At 52.0% G+C, this 22,290-nt stretch overlaps 1 protein-coding gene across 10 annotated transcripts in view, besides 2 other annotated features; it reads right to left on the reverse strand.

The window, feature by feature from the left end:
- The window catches only part of PTPRN2 (protein tyrosine phosphatase receptor type N2), a 1,048,768-nt gene that overhangs the window by 292,617 nt on the left and 733,861 nt on the right, over window positions 1-22,290 (reverse strand). The gene's annotated exons all lie outside the window — the stretch shown is intronic.
- Window positions 12,938-14,137: an enhancer, noted in NCBI's record as "P300/CBP strongly-dependent group 1 enhancer chr7:157637302-157638501 (GRCh37/hg19 assembly coordinates)". NCBI's record gives its function as "activates an origin of replication core promoter dependent on BRD2, BRD4, P300/CBP, MED14 and CDK7 cofactors, with strong dependence on P300/CBP, by STARR-seq in HCT116 cells {active_cell/tissue: HCT116}" and the evidence as "EXISTENCE:reporter gene assay evidence [ECO:0000049][PMID:35650434]".
- Window positions 20,221-20,421: a silencer, noted in NCBI's record as "peak6876 fragment used in MPRA reporter construct". NCBI's record gives its function as "represses an SCP1 promoter by STARR-seq MPRAs in K562 erythroleukemia cells {active_cell/tissue: K562}" and the evidence as "EXISTENCE:reporter gene assay evidence [ECO:0000049][PMID:32103011]".

Below are 22,290 nucleotides of genomic sequence, written 5' to 3' on the forward strand. Positions count from 1 at the left end.
CACTGAGCTCCCCTCTACTTCGGGCCTGCGAGAAGCAGGGAAGGTATAGGCTGCCGTCTCCCTCCCCCAGGCAGCTGGGGCTGTCCTCACACCAGCACAGCCCAGTCCTATGACAAGCCTGGCCACGTTAGACCCTCACGAGACGTCCCACGAATGGAACCCTAGGCCATAAAATATATGGATATTCCAGGGTTTAATTCATAGCCATCCTTAAGCTGGGGGAGGGCAGTTATGGAGCTCCAGAGCGGGGTAAGTTGTTGGAAAACGGAAAGAAGTTTGTCTGGCAGTTGCTTCGTCTGCATGAGGAGTGACGGCTGGGCTGCTGATGGCCCTGAGGGGTCCTCCCGGAGCACCTGGCACCTCCGCTAATTCTCCGGGGTGGAGGCACTTGCACAACCATGTGATGAATTCTTCAGCAGCGCCCGGAAGCTCGGAGGACATGAGAGGTGGCACCAAGGCTGTGGCAGCTGCTCAGCCGGTCTCACAGGCTCAGGACTCGAGCTCTGTGTTAAGCCGCACTACCACTGTGATTGGCACCAGGCTCGATGCTGCATCTCAGGCTCTGTTTCATAAACAGGAGGATTATTTCAGACCGATCAGAGGCGGCTGCATTCTGCAAATTACCGTGTGCTGTGGCTGCGCTCACACATTGCCAAGTGGCTCCTCCGACAGGCGGCACTAATCCATGTTGGTCTGTTCAGGAAGGTTGCCTTTGTAAACTGGAGACAGAATACTTTTGTTTTTGTTTTAAACATACATTTGGGAAGGTGGAAGTCAAGAAATGTAGCGGTTCTGTTGAGTTCAAAGAGAAACACAGGATTCCTAAGTTTCACCCACGCTTTGCCTGACTGACCAACACACTGAAGCTCCCTTCAAACCCAGAGACTTACTGCACTTGCTTCTAGATGCCACAAAAATTGCTGTTAAAAAGAAAAAAAGAAATGGAAACACGAAGGAGCTGCACGTGTGGGGGAGGTGAGGGTGAGAAGGAAGGAAAGGCACAATCTGTCACAGTTTCCAAACACATATGCTTCGCGTGGGAATCTGGGGTTGATTCAAAGGCTGAATGGATCTTCAGTTACTGGAAGGCTTGGCCCAAAATATTTCAGTATATGGAGCAGTTCTCTTCCTTCTAGTAGCAAAAGCAACAGCAGAGAGTGACTGGATTTGTGATCAGAATGGGGACAGTGGGAAAAGTTACCAAACCAATTTACTCAATGGAGAAAATAGCCAACTGGTCAAAGAACTGTGATGAGATGGCGGGATTCTCCAGGAGGTGCGTGATGTGGCTGGTGCCCATCCATCCTGTATGATGATAAACTCGTCCAGGAGCGAGATGTGGCCGGTGCCCATCCATCCTGTATGATGGTAAACTCGTCCAGGAAGTGTGTGATGTGGCCGGTGCCCATCCATCCTGTATGACGGTGAACTTGTCCAGGAGCGAGATGTGGCTGGTGCCCATCCATCCCATATGATCGTAAACTCGTTCAGGAAGTATGCGACGTGGCCAGCGCCCATCCATCCTGTATGATGGTGAACTTATCCAGGAGCGAGATGTGGCCGGTGCCCATCTATCCCATATGATTGTAAACTCGTCCAGGAAGTGTGTGATGTGGCCGGTGCCCATCCATCCTGTATGACGGTGAACTCGTCCAGGAGCGAGATGTGGCTGGTGCCCATCCATCCCATATGATGGTAAACTCGTCCAGGAAGTGTGTGACGTGGGGGGCGCCCATCCATCCTGTATGATGGTGAACTTGTCCAGGAGCGAGATGTGGCCGGTGCCCATCCATCCCATATGATGGTAAACTCGTCCAGGAAGTATGCGACGTGGCCGGCGCCCATCCATCCTGTATGACGGTGAATTTGTCCAGGAGCGAGATGTGGCCGGTGCCCATCTATCCCATATGATTGTAAACTCGTTCAGGAAGTGTGTGACGTGGCCGGAGCCCATCCATCCTGTATGATGGTAAACTTGATGGAGCATAGTTCCGGGAGCAGCTCTCCTGGGTTTTAGGAAATTGGGGAGGGTGTGGAGATGCAGCCGTTAGTATGATGATCTTATCCGCTGCTTCAATTTCCTTCCAGATAAATTTCAATATTTTGCATTTCTTCTGGTCACAACTCTCATCCATGGACATTTTAGGAGTAACAAGCCGCTCATTTCCATAAATCAGCATTGTGGCTTTCTGAGTCGAATCGGACAGGACGTGGGCAGCTGGCGCTGTTGGTCTCCACTCCTCACTGGGCTGAGGCGCACTGAACCCAGAAACCAACACTGCAGCCCCAGATTCTCTCTGACCTGGTGCCGAAAGAAGGAGCTGGCGGATTTCTCCTCTGCCAACGTCCTTCGAAACTCTCTGTAGTACTTTCTATCCGCCAATCAATGAGCCAGCAGCATTCCCTGTGATCAATCCATCAATTCCACCCACCAATCAGTGAGCCAGCAGCACTCCCTGTGATCAATCCATCAATTCCACCCACCAATCAGTGAGCCAGCAGCACTCCCTGTGATCAATCCATCAATTCCACCCACCAATCAGTGAGCCAGCAGCACTCCCTGAGATCAATCCATCAATTCCACCCACCAATCAGTGAGCCAGCAGCACTCCCTGTGATCAATCCATCAATTCCACCCACCAGTGAGCCAGCAGCACTCCCTGTGATCAATCCATCAATTCCACCCACCAATCAGTGAGCCAGCAGCACTCCCTGTGATCAATCCATCAATTCCACCCACCAATCAGTGAGCCAGCAGCACTCCCTGTGATCAATCCATCAATTCCACCCACCAATCAGTGAGCCAGCAGCACTCCCTGTGATCAATCCATCAATTCCACCCACCAATCAGTGAGCCAGAAGCACTCCCTGTGATCAATCCATCAATTGATCAGTCGACCCACCCGCTGGCTACCAGGGGCACCCAGCGCAGCTGCGCTCACAGGGAAGTCAGGGCGAGCGGGCGGCTCCAGACAGAAACGTGGGTGTGCTTGTGTGTGCAGAGTGCACGCTCGCAGAGGGGAAGCCACGGGGCTGCGGGCCCAGCCTCCAGTGAGCCTGGAGCCGGCCTGCAGGGAGGACCCCAGGCGGGTGTGGGGACCCACCTTAGGAGGACAGACGCACATGAGGCTACGGGGCTTGTTGTCATGAACCCCAAATGTGTTGTCAATAAGAGCACCGGACCCAGCTTTCAATGCTTCTCTTAGCAAAACCAGGGATTTTCCTGCAGCTGTGAACATTGACCTGTCCGCCTACTCCCCGAGCCACAGATCTGGGGAAAGAATGCATGTAGCCTGCTGTGGGTGGTGAATGGAGCTGGGGCAGTGATGAGCTACTTCTTGCCTTTTGTCAGGAAAAGAAGCTGGATAGATTTCTCTTCTCTTCCTTTGAGAATGAGTGAAGAGGGAAGATAAAAGCCAGCAACCAGGGACAGCTGAAAATATGGTTTCAGTAAGAGACAGGCCACAGCGTCCTGAGCCCCCTAGGACAAGCAGACCTTCCAGGAGGATTTCCTAAGGTGGCTGGAAGAGAACTCTGCTACCCTTTCCAACGAAGATGCAAGACACACAGCCTCTCTAAAAACAGGAGCAGAAACACACAACACAACGGGAAAAACAGGGTGTCATAAAAACAGAACCGTTACCAAGTTATGAAGGCAAAGAGCTGGAACTGGGAGAGATGAGAAATAACTGTGAGGAAATTAAAACTACAATAGCAGAGTTAAAATTCACATTGAGGCGGCAGAGCAGAACTGACTACAGTTCACAACCGAACCCGCAAAGCTCTTCGAGAATCACGAGCAAAGCACAAAAGATGCTAAAAGAGGGGATATTAGAGACGTACGGCACAGGAAAGAGACTCGTCCTAAGGATGGGGGAGAGTTTGCAAGAAGAAGCTAGAATGACTAGTAGGAAGAACAGGAAACAGGGATCTGCAGCAATGCCTCGGCTCTCAGGGCGCTCGGGAGGGTGCAGGGGCGAAATTAACAACATAGCCGAAGGGTGCACTGCAAATGCGTGGGAAACAATGGCTTATTCAAGAAACTAGAGTTTACTTGGGGGAAGGTCCTAGTTTATCCCTCACTTCACACACATTACAACCACCAGAAATGATCCAGATACATTAACACATTAATGGAACCATAAAAATAACAAATAAAAACTTGTGTTTCACTGATGACAGGATGAGCAAGCACTTTCTAAACATGAGAGCGATTGACAAAATCTTAAAGGAAACGACTGTGCATTTGAATCCACCAGAGCTCAGCCTTTCTGAACTTCAGACAGTACAACAAGCAACGTTAGACACAGACAAGCCTGGCAGAACATTGGCCAAAAGTAAGAGGCAAAAACAAATATGAAGAGTACTCGTGAGTCTATTTCAGAAAATTCACACTCCCATAGGAAAATTCATGAAGAGATTATCCCAGGAAGCAGAACCATCAATAATCAAGTATGATAAAATGTTTAAATCTACAATAAATCAAAAACTATAAATTAAACCAATGATAAGATGCTATCGTTTGCCCTAAATAATTGCATGCACTTAAATGAAGTCCTAACCCTTGGTGTTAAGTGAGTGGATGATGGCAGGTTTATTGGACTTGCCAGATGCACCTGCATTTGTTGGAGATATTAGTTCAACTGGATAAGAGGAATTGAGGTATTTAGAAGAGCTTGCACCATTTCACATAGTAGTTAGATTTCTAGGAGTGTATCCTAAAGAAACAGTAAGCCACATAGATTGAATGTATGCCCAAGGATATTAATTGCAGCAAGACTTATGATAATGAAATACTAGAAACAAGCTAAATGTTCAACAATAGCACATGGGTTGAAGAACTTACAGCAGAACCACATAAAGACCAAAGTGTTCCTCAGAAGCATATTTTAAAGACAATTTGATAAGGCACACATACAAACTGAAAAGCAAAATAAAGACACACACACACACACACACATCCTAAAAGAATATCAAATAGTAAGCATTTTCTAAGTTTTCCACGCTAAGTGTTCAATAGACACAAAACAAGTATTTTAACAAAAATATGATTTCCTGACAGATAATATAGAAGAGGTTTGGCCTATGTCATGACCATGTCCTGGCCTGGACCATTTTTAATTGCTCCAGAGACTTCCAAATTGTGTCACCAAATCTACAACTGTGTGTCCATTCATCCATCCATCCATCCATCCATCCCCCGACCAAACCACCCACTTACTCATCCATCTACCCACCCACCCTGCACTCACCACCACCTATCCACTCACCACCACCTGTCCACTCACCACCACCTGTCCACACGTCTGCCCTTCCATGCATCCCTCCATCCACCCACCCATCCACCCACCACCACCTGTCCACCCACCCACCCATCCACACATCTGCCCTTCCATGTGTCCCTCCATCCACCCACCCATCCACCCACCTATCCACTCACCACCACCTGTCCACCTGCCCACCCATCCACACATCCGCCCTTCCGTGTGTCCCTCCATCCACCCACCCATCCACCCACCCATCCACTCACTACCACCTGTCCACCTGCCCACCCATCCACACATCCACCCTTCCATGTGTCCCTCCACCCATCCACCCACCCATCCACTCACCACCACCTGTCCACCCACCTGCCCATCGACACGTCCCTCCATCTACCCACCCACCCAGAGAATTGCTCGCTTGTTGTGTGCTGTGGGCCAGGCTCTGAGGTTTATGGACGGCTAGGACATTATTAATGCCCATGGGGGATGTAGTGTCTGATGGAAGAGGTGGTGGAGGGGGGAGGCTGTTTTGATGCAGAGTCATCCGAGATGGCTCAGAAGGGGCACCATGAGGAGCCAGGGCCATGTACCACATTCTGTGGAGGTCGACTCCCCAGCACACGCACCCAGGAACACCCTGGGCTTGACAGCCTCTGCTGGGTCATGCCCTCTTGCTCTGTGCCTGAGTCCTTCGCACTCCTGCCGTCTGCAAGGACACGGTGCATCCAGCCCCCGCAGGGCAGGGCTCACATCCTCCATGACCCTCACAAGGACACAGTGTATCCAGCCTCCACAGGGCAGGACTCACATCCTCCTTCACTCCATGACCCTTCCTTGTTGCCGCCACACGTCTGTTGCACCTGTTAGACACGGAGCCTTGGACTCAGGGGTGGGTCCCGTGGATCTCACAGCCCTGCTGCCCAGCATAGGACACACAAGTGACTCAGTGGAGTCCGACACTTGCTGAGTGGATGGCAAGGGAGAAAGCTCCTCTCCACCGTGGCTACTCCAGTTCCTCTCACAGTGGATGGCACGGGAGAAAGCTCCTCTCCACTATGCCTACTCCAGTTCCTCTCGTAGTGGATGGCACGGGAGAAAGCTCCTCTCCGCCGTGCCTACTCCAGTTCCTCTCATAGTGGATGGTACGGGAGAAAGCTCCTCTCCACTATGCCTACTCCAGTTCCTCTCATAGTGGATGGCACGGGAGAAAGCTCCTCTCCACTATGCCTACTCCAGTTCCTCTCATAGTGGATGGTACGGGAGAAAGCTCCTCTCCACTATGCCTACTCCAGTTCCTCTCATAGTGGATGGCACGGGAGAAAGCTCCTCTCCGCCGTACCTATTCCAGTTCCTCTCGTAGTGGATGGCATGGGAGAAAGCTCCTCTCCGCCGTGCCTACTCCAGTTCCTCTCGTAGTGGATGGCATGGGAGAAAGCTGCTCTCTGCCGTGGCTACTCCAGTTCCTCTCATAGTGGATGGCACGGGAGAAAGCTCCTCTCCACCGTGGCTACTCCAGTTCCTCTCATAGTGGATGGCACGGGAGAAAGCTCCTCTCCACCGTGGCTACTCCAGTTCCTCTCATAGTGGATGGCACGGGAGAAAGCTCCTCTCCACCGTGGCTACTCCAGTTCCTCTCATAGTGGATGGCATGGGAGAAAGCTCCTCTCCACCGTGGCTACTCCAGTTCCTCTCGTAGTGGATGGCACGGGAGAAAGCTCCTCTCCGCCGTGGCTACTCCAGTTCCTCTCGTAGTGGATGGCACGGGAGAAAGCTCCTCTCCGCCGTGGCTACTCCAGTTCCTCTCGTAGTGGATGGCACGGGAGAAAGCTCCTCTCCGCCGTGGCTACTCCAGTTCCTCTCGTAGTGGATGGCACGGGAGAAAGCTCCTCTCCGCCGTGGCTACTCCAGTTCCTCTCGTAGTGGATGGCACGGGAGAAAGCTCCTCTCCGCCGTGGCTACTCCAGTTCCTCTCGTAGTGGATGGCACGGGAGAAAGCTCCTCTCCACTGTGGCTACTCCAGTTCCTCTCGTAGTGGATGGCATGGGAGAAAGCTCCTCTCCACCGTGGCTACTCCAGTTCCTCTCGTAGTGGATGGCACGGGAGAAAGCTCCTCTCCGCCGTGGCTACTCCAGTTCCTCTCGTCTTCCCTGGGGTGGCTACAGTGTTCTTGTCTTCGTGAAGTTGCCTCTGATTCCATCCTCTAAAAGCCAATGACTTATATTTGGCACAAGACAGATTAACACGTAATTGTTCTTTACTGAATTGGTATCTGACTGTGTGAGTTGACTGAAGCATGTATAGTCGTATGTGTATCTGAGTGTGTTTGAATGTATGTGCATGACTGTGAGTGCATGTTCATCACTGTCAGTGTGTCACTGTGTCCATATGTGTGGCTGCATGTGAGTGTATGACTGTGTGTGTCTGTGTGGCTGTGTGGGAGTGTGTATGTGGTGGAGTGTGTGTGGCGTGTGTTTGTGTTTGTGAGAGAGACTGTGTGTGTGTCTGGCTGTGTGTGTGGTTGTGTGACTGTGTGGGAGTGTATGTGAATGTGCATGTGTGGCTGTGTCTATGTGTCTGTCTGTGTGTGTGACTTTGTATTACTCTGTGTGTCTGTGTGTGTGTGAGAGATTGTGTGTGTGACTGTGTGAGCATGTGGCTATGTGGAGTGCAAGGGCCTGTGTGGGAATGTGTCTGTGTATGACTGTGTGGCTATGTGTAGTGTGTGTGACTGTGTAGCTGTGTGGAATGTGTATGTGCAACTGTGTGGGAGTGCATGTCTGTGTGACTGTGTGACTGTGTGGCTGTGTGAAGTGTGTGTGGCTGTGTGCGTGACTATGTAACCATGTGTGGCTGTGTGGCCATATGTGACTGTGTGACCAGGTGTGACTGTGTGGCCACGTGTGACTGTGTGACTGTGTGTGACTGTGTGACCGTGTGGAGTGTGTGTGACTGTGTAACCATGTGTGACTGTGTGGCCATATGTGACTGTGTGACTGTGTGTGACTGCGTGTGACTGTGTGGCCACGTGTGACTGTGTGACCACATTTGACTGTGTGGCCGTGTGTGACTGTGTGTGACTGTGTGACTGTGTGTGACTGTGTGACCACATGGAGTGTGTGTGACTGTGTAACTATGTGTGATTGTGTGGCCATATGTGACTGTGTGACCGCGTGACTGTGTGACTGTGACTGTGTGGCCGTCACTGTTACCACATGTGACTGTGTGGCCCTGTGTGACTGTGTGACCGTGTGTGACTGTGACCGCGTGTGACTGTGTGGCCACGTGTGACTGTGTGACTGTGTGTGACTGTGTAACCGCGTGTGACTGTGTGGCCGCGTGTGACTGTGTGACCGTGTGACTGTGTGACTGTGTGGCCACGTGTGACTGTGTGACCGCGTGTGACGTGTGGCCGCGTGTGACTGTGTGGCCGCGTGTGACTGTGTGACCGCGTGTGACTGTGTGACCGTGTGTGACTGTGTGACTGTGTGTGACTGTGTGACCGCGTGTGACTGTGTGACCGCGTGTGACTGTGTGGCCACGTGTGACTGTGTGACTGTGTGACTGTGTGGAGTGTGTGTGACTGTGTAACCATGTCCAGGCAGGGTGTGGGAGTGGAGAGGGTACGGGACGGGAGCTGCAGACAACATCCGAGCCGGCTGAAGCCCACAGAGCAGGCCCCGTGTTGGGGGGAAGTTGGAATTTAGGGAGTGGTGCTGGATTCTGGACAGTGGATGACCCGATGCTGACGCTGGCACCTGATCACTCACAGCCGCCACCAGGCAGCATCCAGAGCCTCCAGCGTTTTCACCCAGTGGGTTGCTGCTGCTCAGCAGTCAGGGGGACAGGTTGTTTCTTCCTGGTCTCAGGCCACAGGACCCCTGAAGAGGAGCCCCGTCCTCAGACCCCTCCAGGAGCCAGAAGTGTTTCTTCTTGGAGAGGTGAGGGGCTGGGCGCCCTCTCAGGCAGTGCCCAGGGAGAAGCACCGGCGGGGGCTGGAGCCACCACCTCACCGCCTGCCTGCCCCCTCCTCCTCTCTCAACGTCCAGTCTGCAGGGCAACCTGCAATTCACAACGGCCGCTGCCTGGCCTGGGAGCTCTGCAGTGCCTTCTGCTGGAAGTGCCAGCCGTGTCCGCCCTGCACTCGCTCCCAGCACAGGGCAGAGGCGGTCGCAGAGCTGCATGATCTACTTTTAAGTTCTGTGAAAGTCCTTCTGCAGTAACAGTTCATGCGCTGGCCACGATGGCAGCAAGGGCAGCTTTAAGTTAATTCAGGCTGTTTTTGGAACAGGCTATGGGGTCTTGAAAGCTTCTTCACCGCCTTCACTCCCCACACGCTCCCTGTCACTGGCTGAACATCGGTGAAGAGACAAAACTGTGAACGAGGACATTATCTAAAGTGCAGAGCCCCACATGGTGGGAAGCTCAAATGCTCACTAACAGGTCGGCCTTCCTTTTCCTGATGGTTTTTCAAACTTACCGTATTGTACGTGGCTTTAAGTGAAACTTGAGTGAAGGATCCTCCCCTTCCCACCCCACCCGCAGGTGATGATTTTGAAAAGCTCCCCCAAAGGAACCCTAAATTAGTCTTAAACACACACACAAATCTATCTGAGGCAGGGAAACTGCCCATTAAGGGCCAGTAATTACCCGAGGCTGCTGGGGTGCCTGCCTGGAAGGGCCCCCACCACGGGGCCTTTGTGCTTCCTGGCCTGGCGGACTCTGAGGCTCATGCATTATTCAGGAGCACGTGGGACAATAAGGAAGCCTTCCATAGAAAGAGAAGCAAAGCTGGGGGTAAATAAAGGTTGCTTGAGAAACACTACTATTTTTTCTACATTTATGAAAATATTGCAGCGTTCGGGGTGCTGGGGACGTCCTCTCTGGTTATCAGGAGAACACCCTGGATTCTGCGCTTTCCTTCCTGCGGGCCTGCAGCCTGCAGGGGCCCACAGGACAGCATACAGTACCCGGGGACTGTGTCTTTTTTCCTCCCTCCTCTCCCTTTCTCTCCCCCATAATGCAAAGCTTTGTCAAGCTAATACTTTAAGGATCAACATCAAAATTGGAACTTTCTCTTTCTATAGCCACATCCAATTGAAAGTATCTTAGACCTCCCAGTGGCTTCCCTTTCGGGGAGGCCTGGCTGTCAGAGCACTGGAACCATGCATCCATTTTAAATAACAGGAAGGTCCCCAACCCATACACAACATTAGAAACGGCATTATTTGCTGGCCCCTTTGTGCGTGGGGCTGTGAATCGGTGCTGCTGCATCACATGGTCAAACCAGGCCTCCCCCACACATTCCTGCTTTATGGGGTCATTTCAGCGCGCTCCAATCAGCCGCCTCGTCCACCTGACCATCTCTTGATTACTGATCTATCTGCTCTTATTTTCCCTGGGGGAAGGGAGGAGATTTAAAGTGCAAATGGTACAAAAGGGGCTCAAATGCCGCTTTGTGTGCAGATTCAGGAGACTTTTTTTTTTTTTTTTTTTTTTGAGACGGTGTCTCGCTCTGTCACCCAGGCTGGAGTGCAGTGGCATGATCTTGGCTCACCGCAACCTCCACCTCCCGTATTCAAGTGATTCTCCTGCCTCAACCTCCTGAGTAGCTGGAATTACAGGCAGGCACCACCATGCCCAGCTAATTTTTGTATTTTTAGTAGAGATGGGGTTTCACCATGTCGGTCAGGCTGGTTTCGAACTCCAGACCTTGTGATTCGCCCACCTCAGCCTCCCAAAGTGCTGGGATTACTTTCTCATCTGGCCTCACAAGGGCACGTTAAGAATCCTGTGCCCCTGTCTCCGCCACAGTGCACACCCAGCCCTTTGATTTCAGATCAGAGGGAATGGAATCTCCAAGGAACTTCACATAGGAAACCCAACAGCACCAAATGCTTTCTAACTATTCTTGGGAAAGAGGCAAGGCACAAGTAAATTAAATATATTAACAAGTCGGAGTAAAGGGTAGAGTGATTAGGAATATCTTCCTCAGAGAAGGGATGTGACAGCCCAATCCACACCGCAGACACAGATCCATTGGACCCGGCCTCCTCCCATCTCTAAAGTCATGCTCTGTGAACATCGTTATGACAGTGAAAACCACGACTTTTCCCCTGTAAAATTAAATGTCACTCTTGATAGCATAATATCTGAAACATCATCTTCCCAAGTCCACACCAATACTTTACACAGAAAATTAAACTCTCTCTGTTTATTGAGTGGATAATGTAGCCTTCAAATGTGTGAGAACCCCTGCTAGGTGAGAAATTACAAAAGCTGTACCATAAAGCCTAATGGTATGTATGAAATACACAAAAAGGTAACCTAATTGGTAATCAGAAATCATAAAACTAATCATGCAATTAATGTCTTCAAAAGCAAGCATTTGAGGTGTGTATAATTACAAGAAAACAATGCAATGGTGGTTTCCAGCATTAATGAATTAATTGTGGTGGTAGGGGGGCCGGCGTGGGGGTTTATGGGCTGGTTTCAGTCCATGCCCACTGCCTGGCTGTGCGTTCTCTGCCTTCCTCCACCTGGAGCTCCTCAGCAAAGGACTGTGCCTCTGAGCCTCCCCTGGAGAAGTCAAGAGGTCCCCTCCTTCCAGACCCAACTTCCCTGGCCACTGACTGTCGGGATTCCCTGGGGGAGGGCAGGTGGAGAGACGGCTGGTGCAGAAAAACACAGAAGGCCCAGAGCCGCTCATTGAGTGCAGGTGTCGGAAAAAAATTTGGGAACACACATTAACCTACGCAACTCTCTTGCTTTCTTTCCAGCGTGCCACACAATATCATGATACTTACGGTTCTATGATTCACACTCGCAGTTTCGAAGGAAACCTCTGCTCTGTGCTGATTATTCCAGGACCAAGGCTTAATGCGTGGGATGTTAATTTGCTGATAGAAAGGGGAGGAGGAACAGGTCGGGGCTGCATGGCATTCCTTCCAGACAACTGGAGCAAACAGGGCTCCACATTGGGGTCCTTTCGATGTGGTGCCGTCACCAGTGCCACCCCACTGCAGGCACCGGGAGCTCTTCCACGGAGAGGAAAGGTGCAGAGAAAGACTCTGACCCCCTGCACGGAGGAGGGGGCGGCGCAGGCCCCTCCACGTCATCGGTGTGGAACGCAGGCCCCTCCACGTCGTGGATGTGGAACGCAGGCCCCTCCACATCGTGGGTGTGGAATGCAGGCCCCTCCACGTCATGGGTGTGGAACGCAGGCCTTTTGAACATAGGAGTGTGCAAGCCCCACACACAGGAGGTGGTGTGCAGCACGTGTCTCTGCAGGAAAGGGAACAGGAGGGACTGGCCTTGGCGGGTGGTGAGACGGCCACACACTCTCTGAAGGAGATTCTACATTCCCACTTCTCTGTAGAAGCCGTCCAGGCCCCAGCCCCATCCCCAGCCTGCACCCTCCAGGCAGCTGAAGGCCTGGGCACAGCTAGCGAGGCCACTGGCATGTGGGAGATGGAGGACAGTGGGGAGAAGAAAGAACACTAGAGCTGAAATTCGAGGAAGAAACCGGACATCTGGGGCAGAGGAACGACCCAAAGCCACTGAGGAAACTGCCAGGTGAGGGCCAGGAGGAGAGGGTGAGGCTGACACGGGGACAGGAGCCCAGCGTGACCAGCCTGGGGTCCTGAAGCAATGCTCTAGAAAGAGAAGGCCTTCCACAGCACGACCCCAGGGTGGTGATGAGGGCACACTGCTGGAGATGAAGAAAGCATTATTACTCCTCCACTTCTAGTACGAGAGGCTTGTTCACGTCCTAAGTTGCTCTGTGTTCCCGGCAACGTACCCGGCACTGAGTTCTCAGGACTGGTGCAGGTCAGCGGCTCCGCAGGGGTGAGCTGGGCGCTGCCTGCATCTGACGAGATAGCAGTATGTTAGCATCTGTGGTGTTCTGTCTACCGCAGAGTCCTGTGAGCCTCCGGGTGCTCGTGTCCGTGCACTGTGACGGCCTTTGTCTCTTTTGTTTTGTTATTTCAGGGGCGTTTTTCTTATTCTGGCCTGTGGGAAGATGCCCTGGAGCCCTGGACACTGGTTTTCCAGCAAACCCTACAGATCGGTTGGGATCCACCTGGTGACACCTGCCTTATCTTCCAGGGTTTGCCCTTGGTGTAGAGATAGACAAAGGGAGAGGTGAGCACAAGGTCACAGGGACGCAGCCCTGACCTCACGTTGGTCCACGACGGGCAGAGAGCAACTTGGATGGCTGCCTTTGTTGTTTTTCAAATGGACTATTTTATTCCTAGAAAAAGATACACAGGCTAATGTAATGAATACACTAGCACCCTTAGCCAGCTGTAGGAAAAAAATGCATGGCAGATACTCGATGGCCTTTCTGTCCTCCCTGCACCACCCAGAGGACATACACAGAGTGATCCGCCCTCTTTTCCCTGGTGAATCACGCAGCCTAACTCACCATGTTCCCGGCCACGCCACAGTGAATCACGCAGCCTAACTCACCAGGTTACTGGCCTAACTCACCATGTTCCCGGCCATACCCCAGTGAACCACACAGCCTAACTCACCATGTTCCCGACCACACCCTGGTGAACCACGCAGCCTAACTCAGCATGTTCCCGGCCACATCCCGGTGAACCATGCAGCCTAACTCACCACGTTCCCGGCCACACAGGGCCAAGAACAGCCCAGGCAATGTTAAGGAGCATTGCATGGAGGAGCCACTTGCAGATGCGGTAACCCACTGTGCGGCACAGAACCTCCCCGCGGGGCAGGTGGGTGCACAGGAAAGAAACCAACATGGAGCTGAGGCCCCAGAGAGGTCCCTGTGCTCATGACTCACAGAGACGGGGACGGCAGCAAGGACACAGCAGGGCCATGGGCAGAGGAAGGACAAGCAACGTGGGGCCATGGGGAGGGACGGAAGACAGAAGTGGATCCCGGCTCTCCACAAAACACAAAAATTAACCCCAGGCAGATTAAAGCCTAAATGGGGGGAAAAAACCTGTAAATGTTTTGAAGAAAACATTTGAGCCTCTCTGAACTCAGGGCAGAAAACAGTTTCCTCAAATCCTTTCCTCAAACAACACAAACTACGGAGGAAGGGAGTGGTAAAATTTGATCAAATCAAGTGAAGCAGCTTCTGTGCTTCAAGAAACACTATTAAAAAGTGGGAAAAGGTGGGGGTGAGCCACCCGCCAGGAAGCGAGATTCACGGCACCTCTGTCAGATGAAAGGGCTGGGTCTGCGTCCAGCCAGGCAATGAAGATGAGCCGCCAATATTCTAGGAAGAAAAGCGGGGGTGGGAGTCACCAAAACAAGTCTTCTGAAAACTGGCCAAGGTGTGATGTACGTTTGCATCCTAGGAAATTAAAGAGGTAAAAAAACCCATCTGGAAAACCAAGAGCTGCTTGATTCTATGAACCTAAGAACAGTCCGTTTCTCCTTCAGAGACGTATTGAGAGAACTCGGTATCATTATGAAATCTCTCAGGCCTCCAGGAAATGACGCTCTAAAAATGCAAAGCTCTGAACCAACCACCGAGAAACACCCTTTCCCCTCCCCTGGGTGATACTAAGCTGCTGTGGGGCGTCCCCACAATTTTGGGGCCGGAACGGAGGGGGAACAGGCACCAGTTTGTCACTGCCCTGAGTGCGCTGCCCCAACACCCTGCCTGCTGCTGTCTGAGAGAAAATCGTGTCATGGATCATCATCCCTGTGCTGCAGGTGTGTCTGATGTTTACAGAGACCTCTCTCGCTCCATCATGCGTGCCCGATGTCTACAGAGCCCTCTCTCACTCCATCATGCGTGCCCGATATCTACAGAGCCCTCTCTCACTCCATCATGCGTGCCCGATGTCTACAGAGCCCTCTCTCACTCCATCATGCGTGCCCGATATCTACAGAGCCCTCTCTCACTCCATCATGCGTGCCCGATGTCGACAGAGCCCTCTCTCACTCCATCACGTGTGCCCGATGTTTACAGAGCCCTCTCTGACTCCATCATGTGTGCCTGATGTTTACAGAGCCCTCTCTCACTCCTTCATGTGTGCCCAATGTTTACAGAGCCCTCTCTCACTCCTTCATGTGTGGCCAATGTTTACAGAGCCCTCCCTCACTACATCATGTGTGGCCGATGTTTACAGAGCCCTCTCTCATTACATCTTCTGTGCCCGATGTTTACAGAGCCCTCTCTGACTCCATCATGTGTGCCCGATGTCTACAGAGCCCTCTCTCACTCCATCATGCGTGCCCGATGTCGACAGAGCCCTCTCTCACTCCATCACGTGTGCCCGATGTTTACAGAGCCCTCTCTGACTCCATCATGTGTGCCCGATGTTTACAGAGCCCTCTCTCACTCCTTCATATGTGGCCAATGTTTACAGAGCCCTCCCTCACTACATCATGTGTGGCCGATGTTTACAGAGCCCTCTCTCATTACATCTTCTGTGCCCGATGTTTACAGAGCCCTCTCTGACTCTATCACGTGTGCCCAATGTTTACAGAGCCCTCTCTCACTCCATCAGGTGTGCCTGATGTCTACAAAGCCCTCTCTCACTCCATCATGCGTGCCCGATGTCTACAGAGCCCTCTCTCACTCCATCATGCGTGCCCGATGTCTACAGAGCCCTCTCTCACTCCATCATGCGTGCCCGATGTCTACAGAGCCCTCTCTCACTCCATCATGCGTGCCCGATGTCTACAGAGCCCTCTCTCACTCCATCATGTGTGCCCAATGTCTACAGAGCCCTCTCTCACTCTGTCATGCATGCCGGATGTTTACAGATGTTTACAGAGCGCTCTCTCACTCCATCATGTGTGCCCAATGTCTACAGAGCCCTCTCTCACTCCATCATGCGTGCCCGATGTCTACAGAGCCCTCTCTCACTCCATCATGCGTGCCCGATGTCTACAGAGCCCTCTCTCACTCCATCATGTGTGCCCGATGTCTACAGAGCCCTCTCTCATTACATCATGTGTGCCCGATGTTTACAGAGCCCTCTCTCATTACATCATGTGTGCCCGATGTCTACAGAGCCCTCTCTCACTCCATCATGTATGCCCGATGTTTACAGAGCCCTCTTTCATTACATCATGTGTGCCTGATGTTTACAGAGCCCTCTCTCATTACATCGTGTGTGCCTGATGTTTACAGAGCCCTCTCTCACTCCCTCATGGGTGCCGTATGTTTACAGATGTTTACAGAGCCCTCTTTCATTACATCATGTGTGCCTGATGTTTACAGAGCCCTCTCTCATTACATCGTGTGTGCCTGATGTTTACAGAGCCCTCTCTCACTCCCTCATGGGTGCCGTATGTTTACAGATGTTTATAGAGCCCTCTTTCATTACATCATGTGTGCCTGATGTTTACAGAGCCCTCTCTCATTACATCGTGTGTGCCTGATGTTTACAGAGCCCTCTCTCACTCCCTCATGGGTGCAGTATGTTTACAGATGTTTACAGAGCCCTCTTTCATTACATCATATGTGCCCAATGTTTACAGAGCCCTCTCTCATTACATCATGTGTGCCTGATGTTTACAGAGCCCTCTCTCACTGCATCATGCGTGCCCAATGTTTACAGAGCCCTCTCTCACTCTGTCATGTGTGCCCGATATTTACGGAGCCCTCTCTCATTCCGTTTGATTTGCACCACTGCTGTGAGATGGGCAACAGTTCCTGGCTTTACAGGCAACAAAATGCTCCCACCAGTCAATGAAGCCACAGAGCTTGCCAGGAGTGAATGGGGCCCCACCTGACAGAAATGACGGCTTCCGCGGGATCCCATGAAGGTTCTGTAAGCCAGAGCTGAAGTGAGTGGGGCCCCTGTCCGCAGGCTGCCACCTCTGGCAGGTCGTCCACAGGAACGCTTGTCCTGAATGGTGGCCCGCACCCTGCAGTGAGCCCACGGCTATAGTGGTGCAGCCAGCAGCCCCGACGCCTCTGCAGTCCCAGACCCAGGGAAGCCCCGTGTGCACCACGGTGTGCCCTGGACCACTCACTTGGCCGCTGCCACCCTGGGAGGATCACAGGGGCTGCCTTCTGGACATATGTCAGGCTCTCACTGCCCCAGTGAGAGGACTGGCTCTGGTCCTGATCCACAAGCTCTGAACCAATAGCGGGTCTTGGGATGACGTCTGCGGAGCCCCTCGGTCCCAGCGTGGCTGGCGTCCAGGACCCCAGCACCTCTACACCCAGGTCCTTCTCAGTTCCCACCGGCCGGGCTGACGCTGGTCTCCAGGGTGATGGAGCTGATTCTTCGGGTTTCCCTCAGCTCAGATCAAATTTAACACAGCAAGAGGACACCCACTGTTCCCACCGAAGAGGCAGAAAGCTGGAGTTCGCGGTGCCTTTCTCCCCCAGGCTGGGATGGAGGAGGCAGCATGAGGCCACCGTCATTCCCAGTGTGTGAGCTGGGGCCATCCGGAAGTTGCGATTCATGTCAGACACTACGGGGCCGAGGCTCATGTGGGTGTGCGTCCTCTCAGGGTCACACCTCAGCAAGGAAGCTCAGCAGAAGGTCTCCCAGGTCCCTGAGCCACCGTTCCTCTGACTGCTTGTACCCTTCCCGAGATGCTGCTGCAGCCCCACGCCACTCAGAGTGACCAGCCTGGGCCAACCCCTGGGTTCTGACAAGATGTGCTGTTTAGGACTAAATTCAGCTGCATATAACAGAAAACTTCTGACAAGGTTGGTGTGAACACCTGAGGCTTTTCTTCCCTCCCACACAAAACCCATCTAAATGGGCAGTCTGGGTCCCGCATCCTGGCCAGGGACATTTACGGGAACCACATCAGCCTAGGATCCACTATCCAGGTGGCCGTCATTTCCCATCAAGAAGCCTTTCTGCCCAGAGTACTGTACAGCCACAGCTCATGGCCAGGTCTCACTCAGTGACCACATCTAAGCACAGGGGAGGCCAAACGTGTTATTTTAGCTAAACTTAGGGTTCGATCACCATGGAGGAGGGGAAGACGGCACAGACCCTTCACCGCTGGCCCTGATGGCAGCTGGGGCCCGTGTGTGCCGTGTCCTGGGGACGACATGAGATAGCCAGGCTCCCCGTCCCTCAGGGATGGTCTTCCAAGGATTGGAGCATCTTACACGTTTTTTATTTCAGTTTAAACCACTTTCTACTCATATGCTTTTGGTTTAAATAAATTGCCAGATAAAATTTGCTTGAAAATCTTTTATGGGAGGAAAAGAGAACATTCATAACAAACAGAGCTCAGGTTATCCCCTCTCCACCCAACACCAGCATTTCCAGGCCTTTGAGGAACTGGGGAGAAACATGATGTGGTCAGATTCCAAATTTCCGAAGTGCGGAGCCTCAGGCTCACATAAGGGATCCCAGGTCTCCAAATTTCCGACATGGGGTGCCTCAGGCTCGCGTAAGGGATCCCAGGTCTCCGAATTTCCGACGTGGGTGCCTCAGGCTCGCGTAAGGGATCCCAGGTCTCCGAATTTCCATTTCCGACGTGGGGTGCCTCAGGCTCGTGTAAGGGATCCCAGGTATCCGAATTTCCGACGTGGGGTGCCTCACGCTCGCATAAGGGATCCCAGGTCTCCCGGGGCCTGGTGTGTGCACCACAGACTACATATTCCACAAGGAAGCTGTGAGAAAGAAGCACAGACAGTCCTGCACCATCTCACATCCACCAAATCCAGAATTCTCCTTTCTCAAACCATCCACAGACTAACTTATTCAGCTCCCCACAATATGAGTCTGTTTTGAGGCCAGGGGGTGGGTCCTGGACCCTCCAATTCCTTGACAGACAAAAGGTGTAGAATAGCCTGGGATTCCAGGTTCCTGGGAGTCCTGCAGGGCAGGTGCAGGCTGGGGCATGGAGGCGGAAGCTTCTTCACACCACAAGCGGCCACGGTAGAGTTGACGGGAGAAACCAACTTTAAATTCATGCAGGATCAGGAATGCTGTGCCACATCAATGTGTAAAATACAATCTTCATGTGGGAGAACGAATGGTCATCTCTGAAATATGCTTTGCACATTAGGATTTTTCAGATCTTCCCTATTCTTGGTTTACCCAAAGCAAAGCGAGTTCTTGCTGGGGTGAAGGGTGGAAGAGAAAAGCAGCGGAATGGGCGGGCTGTCGAACAAAAGGCGGCGAGGGAGGTACCGTGCAGAGCCTGCTGGGCCTTCTGTCCCATGGCCCCGCACACCGGACTCACCCAGCCTCCAGCCGCTCCTGTGCCTTTCTGCCTAATAAATATCTGTGATAATTACCAACCCCCAAAAAGGGTTCTCTAACGAGGGTGCATTTTATCAGTCCCTTAACGAGGCTGTTTGGGTTCCTGCCTCCTATAGAGTGGCGGTTAATGCTTAATCAGCAAATGCACTGTTTAAATAATAACAAGAATATCAGCAGAGAATCTAAATTATCCCTTAACTTCTCAAAATAATCATAACAGGCATTTGAACATTCATACAAATATGGCTCATGAATAAAAATGCGCTTTCTTTAATACAAATATAGTCTGATGGAAAGTCTCTGAAACCCAACCTACGGAGGCCCCTCCCTGTCATCTCCTGGTGCATGGAACAGCGACTTTGCCATCACTGAGGTTCCGGGCACAGAACCTGCCTCAGTCCAGCGTCCCTATCCGCTGTAAGAAAGGGTGAAGGATCCAGTATGGGAGATGGAGATTGTCCATATCCCGAGGGAGGGACTGGCCAGGGCACACCCGCCAAGGGCACCTTGTGTCCCTGCTCTGCAGAGACCGCCCAGCTCTAGGTGCCTGAGTGTTTTCTGCTCTCCACATTTGAAACCCTAACAAAACCCCTGAGCAATCAGGCCGTGTGGAGGCAAAGAGCCTCTCCTGTAACAGTGTGGTCCTTCCAGCCTTCTCTCACATGCGGAATTTGGCAGACAGTGATGTGAGACGCTCACATGGCAAACTTTCTTTTCTGTTTCTCTTTGGCACAAAGCCTCAGCGCTCCCGCGCCTGCCCTACCACTGAACAAAACAGCCTCTTCCGGGCCCAGCTCACTTGTGCCTCCGCCCACCTCGCTGCGGGCAACACCCGTTTTCCTAAAGATTGACAAGAGGACGTGTTACTCAAATAACCACCCGCTCAGAAGAAAAAACCTCTGTGCAGAGCCTTTTGTGTTGAAAACGACACCTTCACGTTATCAGCCTTAGAGGCAGGTCTGTTTGCAGCGGTGCCCGCTGAGGAGTCTGGATTTTTAAAATACGCCAGAAATGACTTAGGGTCTCAGCCAACAGAACCAAGGAAAGTTATATTTATGTGGGAATTATTTTGTCAAAAAAGTTCCAAAATGTTGGCAAACTCTGCTCAATTATATAAGCTTTCACCTGAAGGCACAGTATTTTTTTAAAAGTCAGTTTGTGTATCTCTGTTGAAAACAATTATGAAAACAAGCATTAAATAACCTGACTAAAAAAAGTAGAATGAGGTTCACTTCCATGGAAATAATTTTATTAACAAAATTCAGAAGACCAAGCTGAGAATGGAGATCTGCATGTTTTAATCAAATGCTTTCTAAGCCAAGTCTCCTACCCTCTAACAGACGACCATTTTTAAATTGAAAGTTTAAATAGGTTGATCTTAAAAACACATTCAATGGTGAAGGAGTGTGTGTTTAAAATAAAAGTGTTTATATTTTTCAGATTTTGTTTTCTCCTGCTTCCTTAAAAAATACACTGGCCGGGTGCGGTGGCTCACGCCTGTAATCCCAGCACTTTGGGAGGCTGAGAAGGGCGGATCACGAGGTCAAGATGCTGAGACCATCCTGGCCAACATGGTGAAACCCCGTCTCTACTAAAAACACAAAAATTAGCTGGGTGTGGTGGTGGGCGCCTGTAATCCCAGCTACTCGGGAGGCTGAGGCAGGAGAATCGCTTTAACCCAGGAGGCAGAGGTTGCAGTGAGCCAAGATCGCACCACTGCACTCCAGCTCGGCAACACAGCAAGTCTCTCAAAAAAAAAAAAAAAAAAAATACTAGCACAGTGGACCCTGAAGCGCCAGCAGCAAACCCTCTGAGATGTGCGTCCGGAGTGGCCATGCCACCAGCTTTTTCTGCCCACTGTTTTGGAAAAGTGTTGATTTTGGAATGTGGTTTCCCATCACTGTGTGGACCATGGGTGAATGGGGAGGGTGGATGGTCTCTGGGGCCGTCCTCTCTCCGCCTCCAGATCAGCAGGCAGTGGATGGGTATTTGGGTCTTTCTTGTACTCACACGGATGCGATGTGTGATTCCTGGTAGGAAACAAGAAGCAGCTCACTGGCAACACCACACTGCCCCTTGCATTCCGAGGAGTCATGTAGTCATGAGGGGCATGAGCAAGATGGAGACCCAGAGGCTCACGCTCACATGATGACGGCCGAGCCGGGCCTGCAACGGAAAGGCCTGTGGCATGGGGTAACTTCAGAGCCTTCTTCTCAACAGGCACGGCCCGCAGAGCCACTGGAGGTAAGGATCCTCTCCAGCCAGGGAGGAAGCATCCCGCACCGTGCCCACTTTAAACCCTGGAGAACCATGTTTGCCTCTGTCTGGCCCTCTCCCCACCCCCCCACCTCCCTTTGCCGTCTTCTTTGTGTGTAACCTTTGTGTACAGGCTGAAGAGAAAAGTCCCAAAATCCAGCACAAGCCCCGTGACCCTTTCTCCCAGGCCCACGGTCTTGGGGCACTTTCTCAGGGCCTGACCTTGGAGCAGACAAGAGCTGAGCGCTCAGGAAGGGAACTGTCCGAGGAGCCTCCTCCACGGCGGAACTGGTGCATCATGTAGAATAACCGAGCCACACGTGCGGAGATGCTCCACGCCCCACTGCCCGTAGGTCTGAGGGAGATACTCCCCGTGTTTTGGGATGAATTGAGTTCCCCAAATTCGCATGCCAAGCCCTAAGCCCAGTACCTGTGGACGTGACCTTATCGGGGAATAGGGTCTTTGTGGAGGTAACTGGCTAAGTTTCAATGAGGTCATTAGGGCGGGCCCTAATCCAACAAGACGGGGGTCCTTATCAAAGGCGGAGATGCGGACACGGGGCAGCCACAGGGAACACCGCGTGAAGACGGAG

The sequence above is a fragment of the Homo sapiens genome, chromosome 7 (genome assembly GCF_000001405.40).
Source record: "Homo sapiens chromosome 7, GRCh38.p14 Primary Assembly".
Classification (NCBI taxonomy): Eukaryota; Metazoa; Chordata; class Mammalia; order Primates; family Hominidae; genus Homo; species Homo sapiens.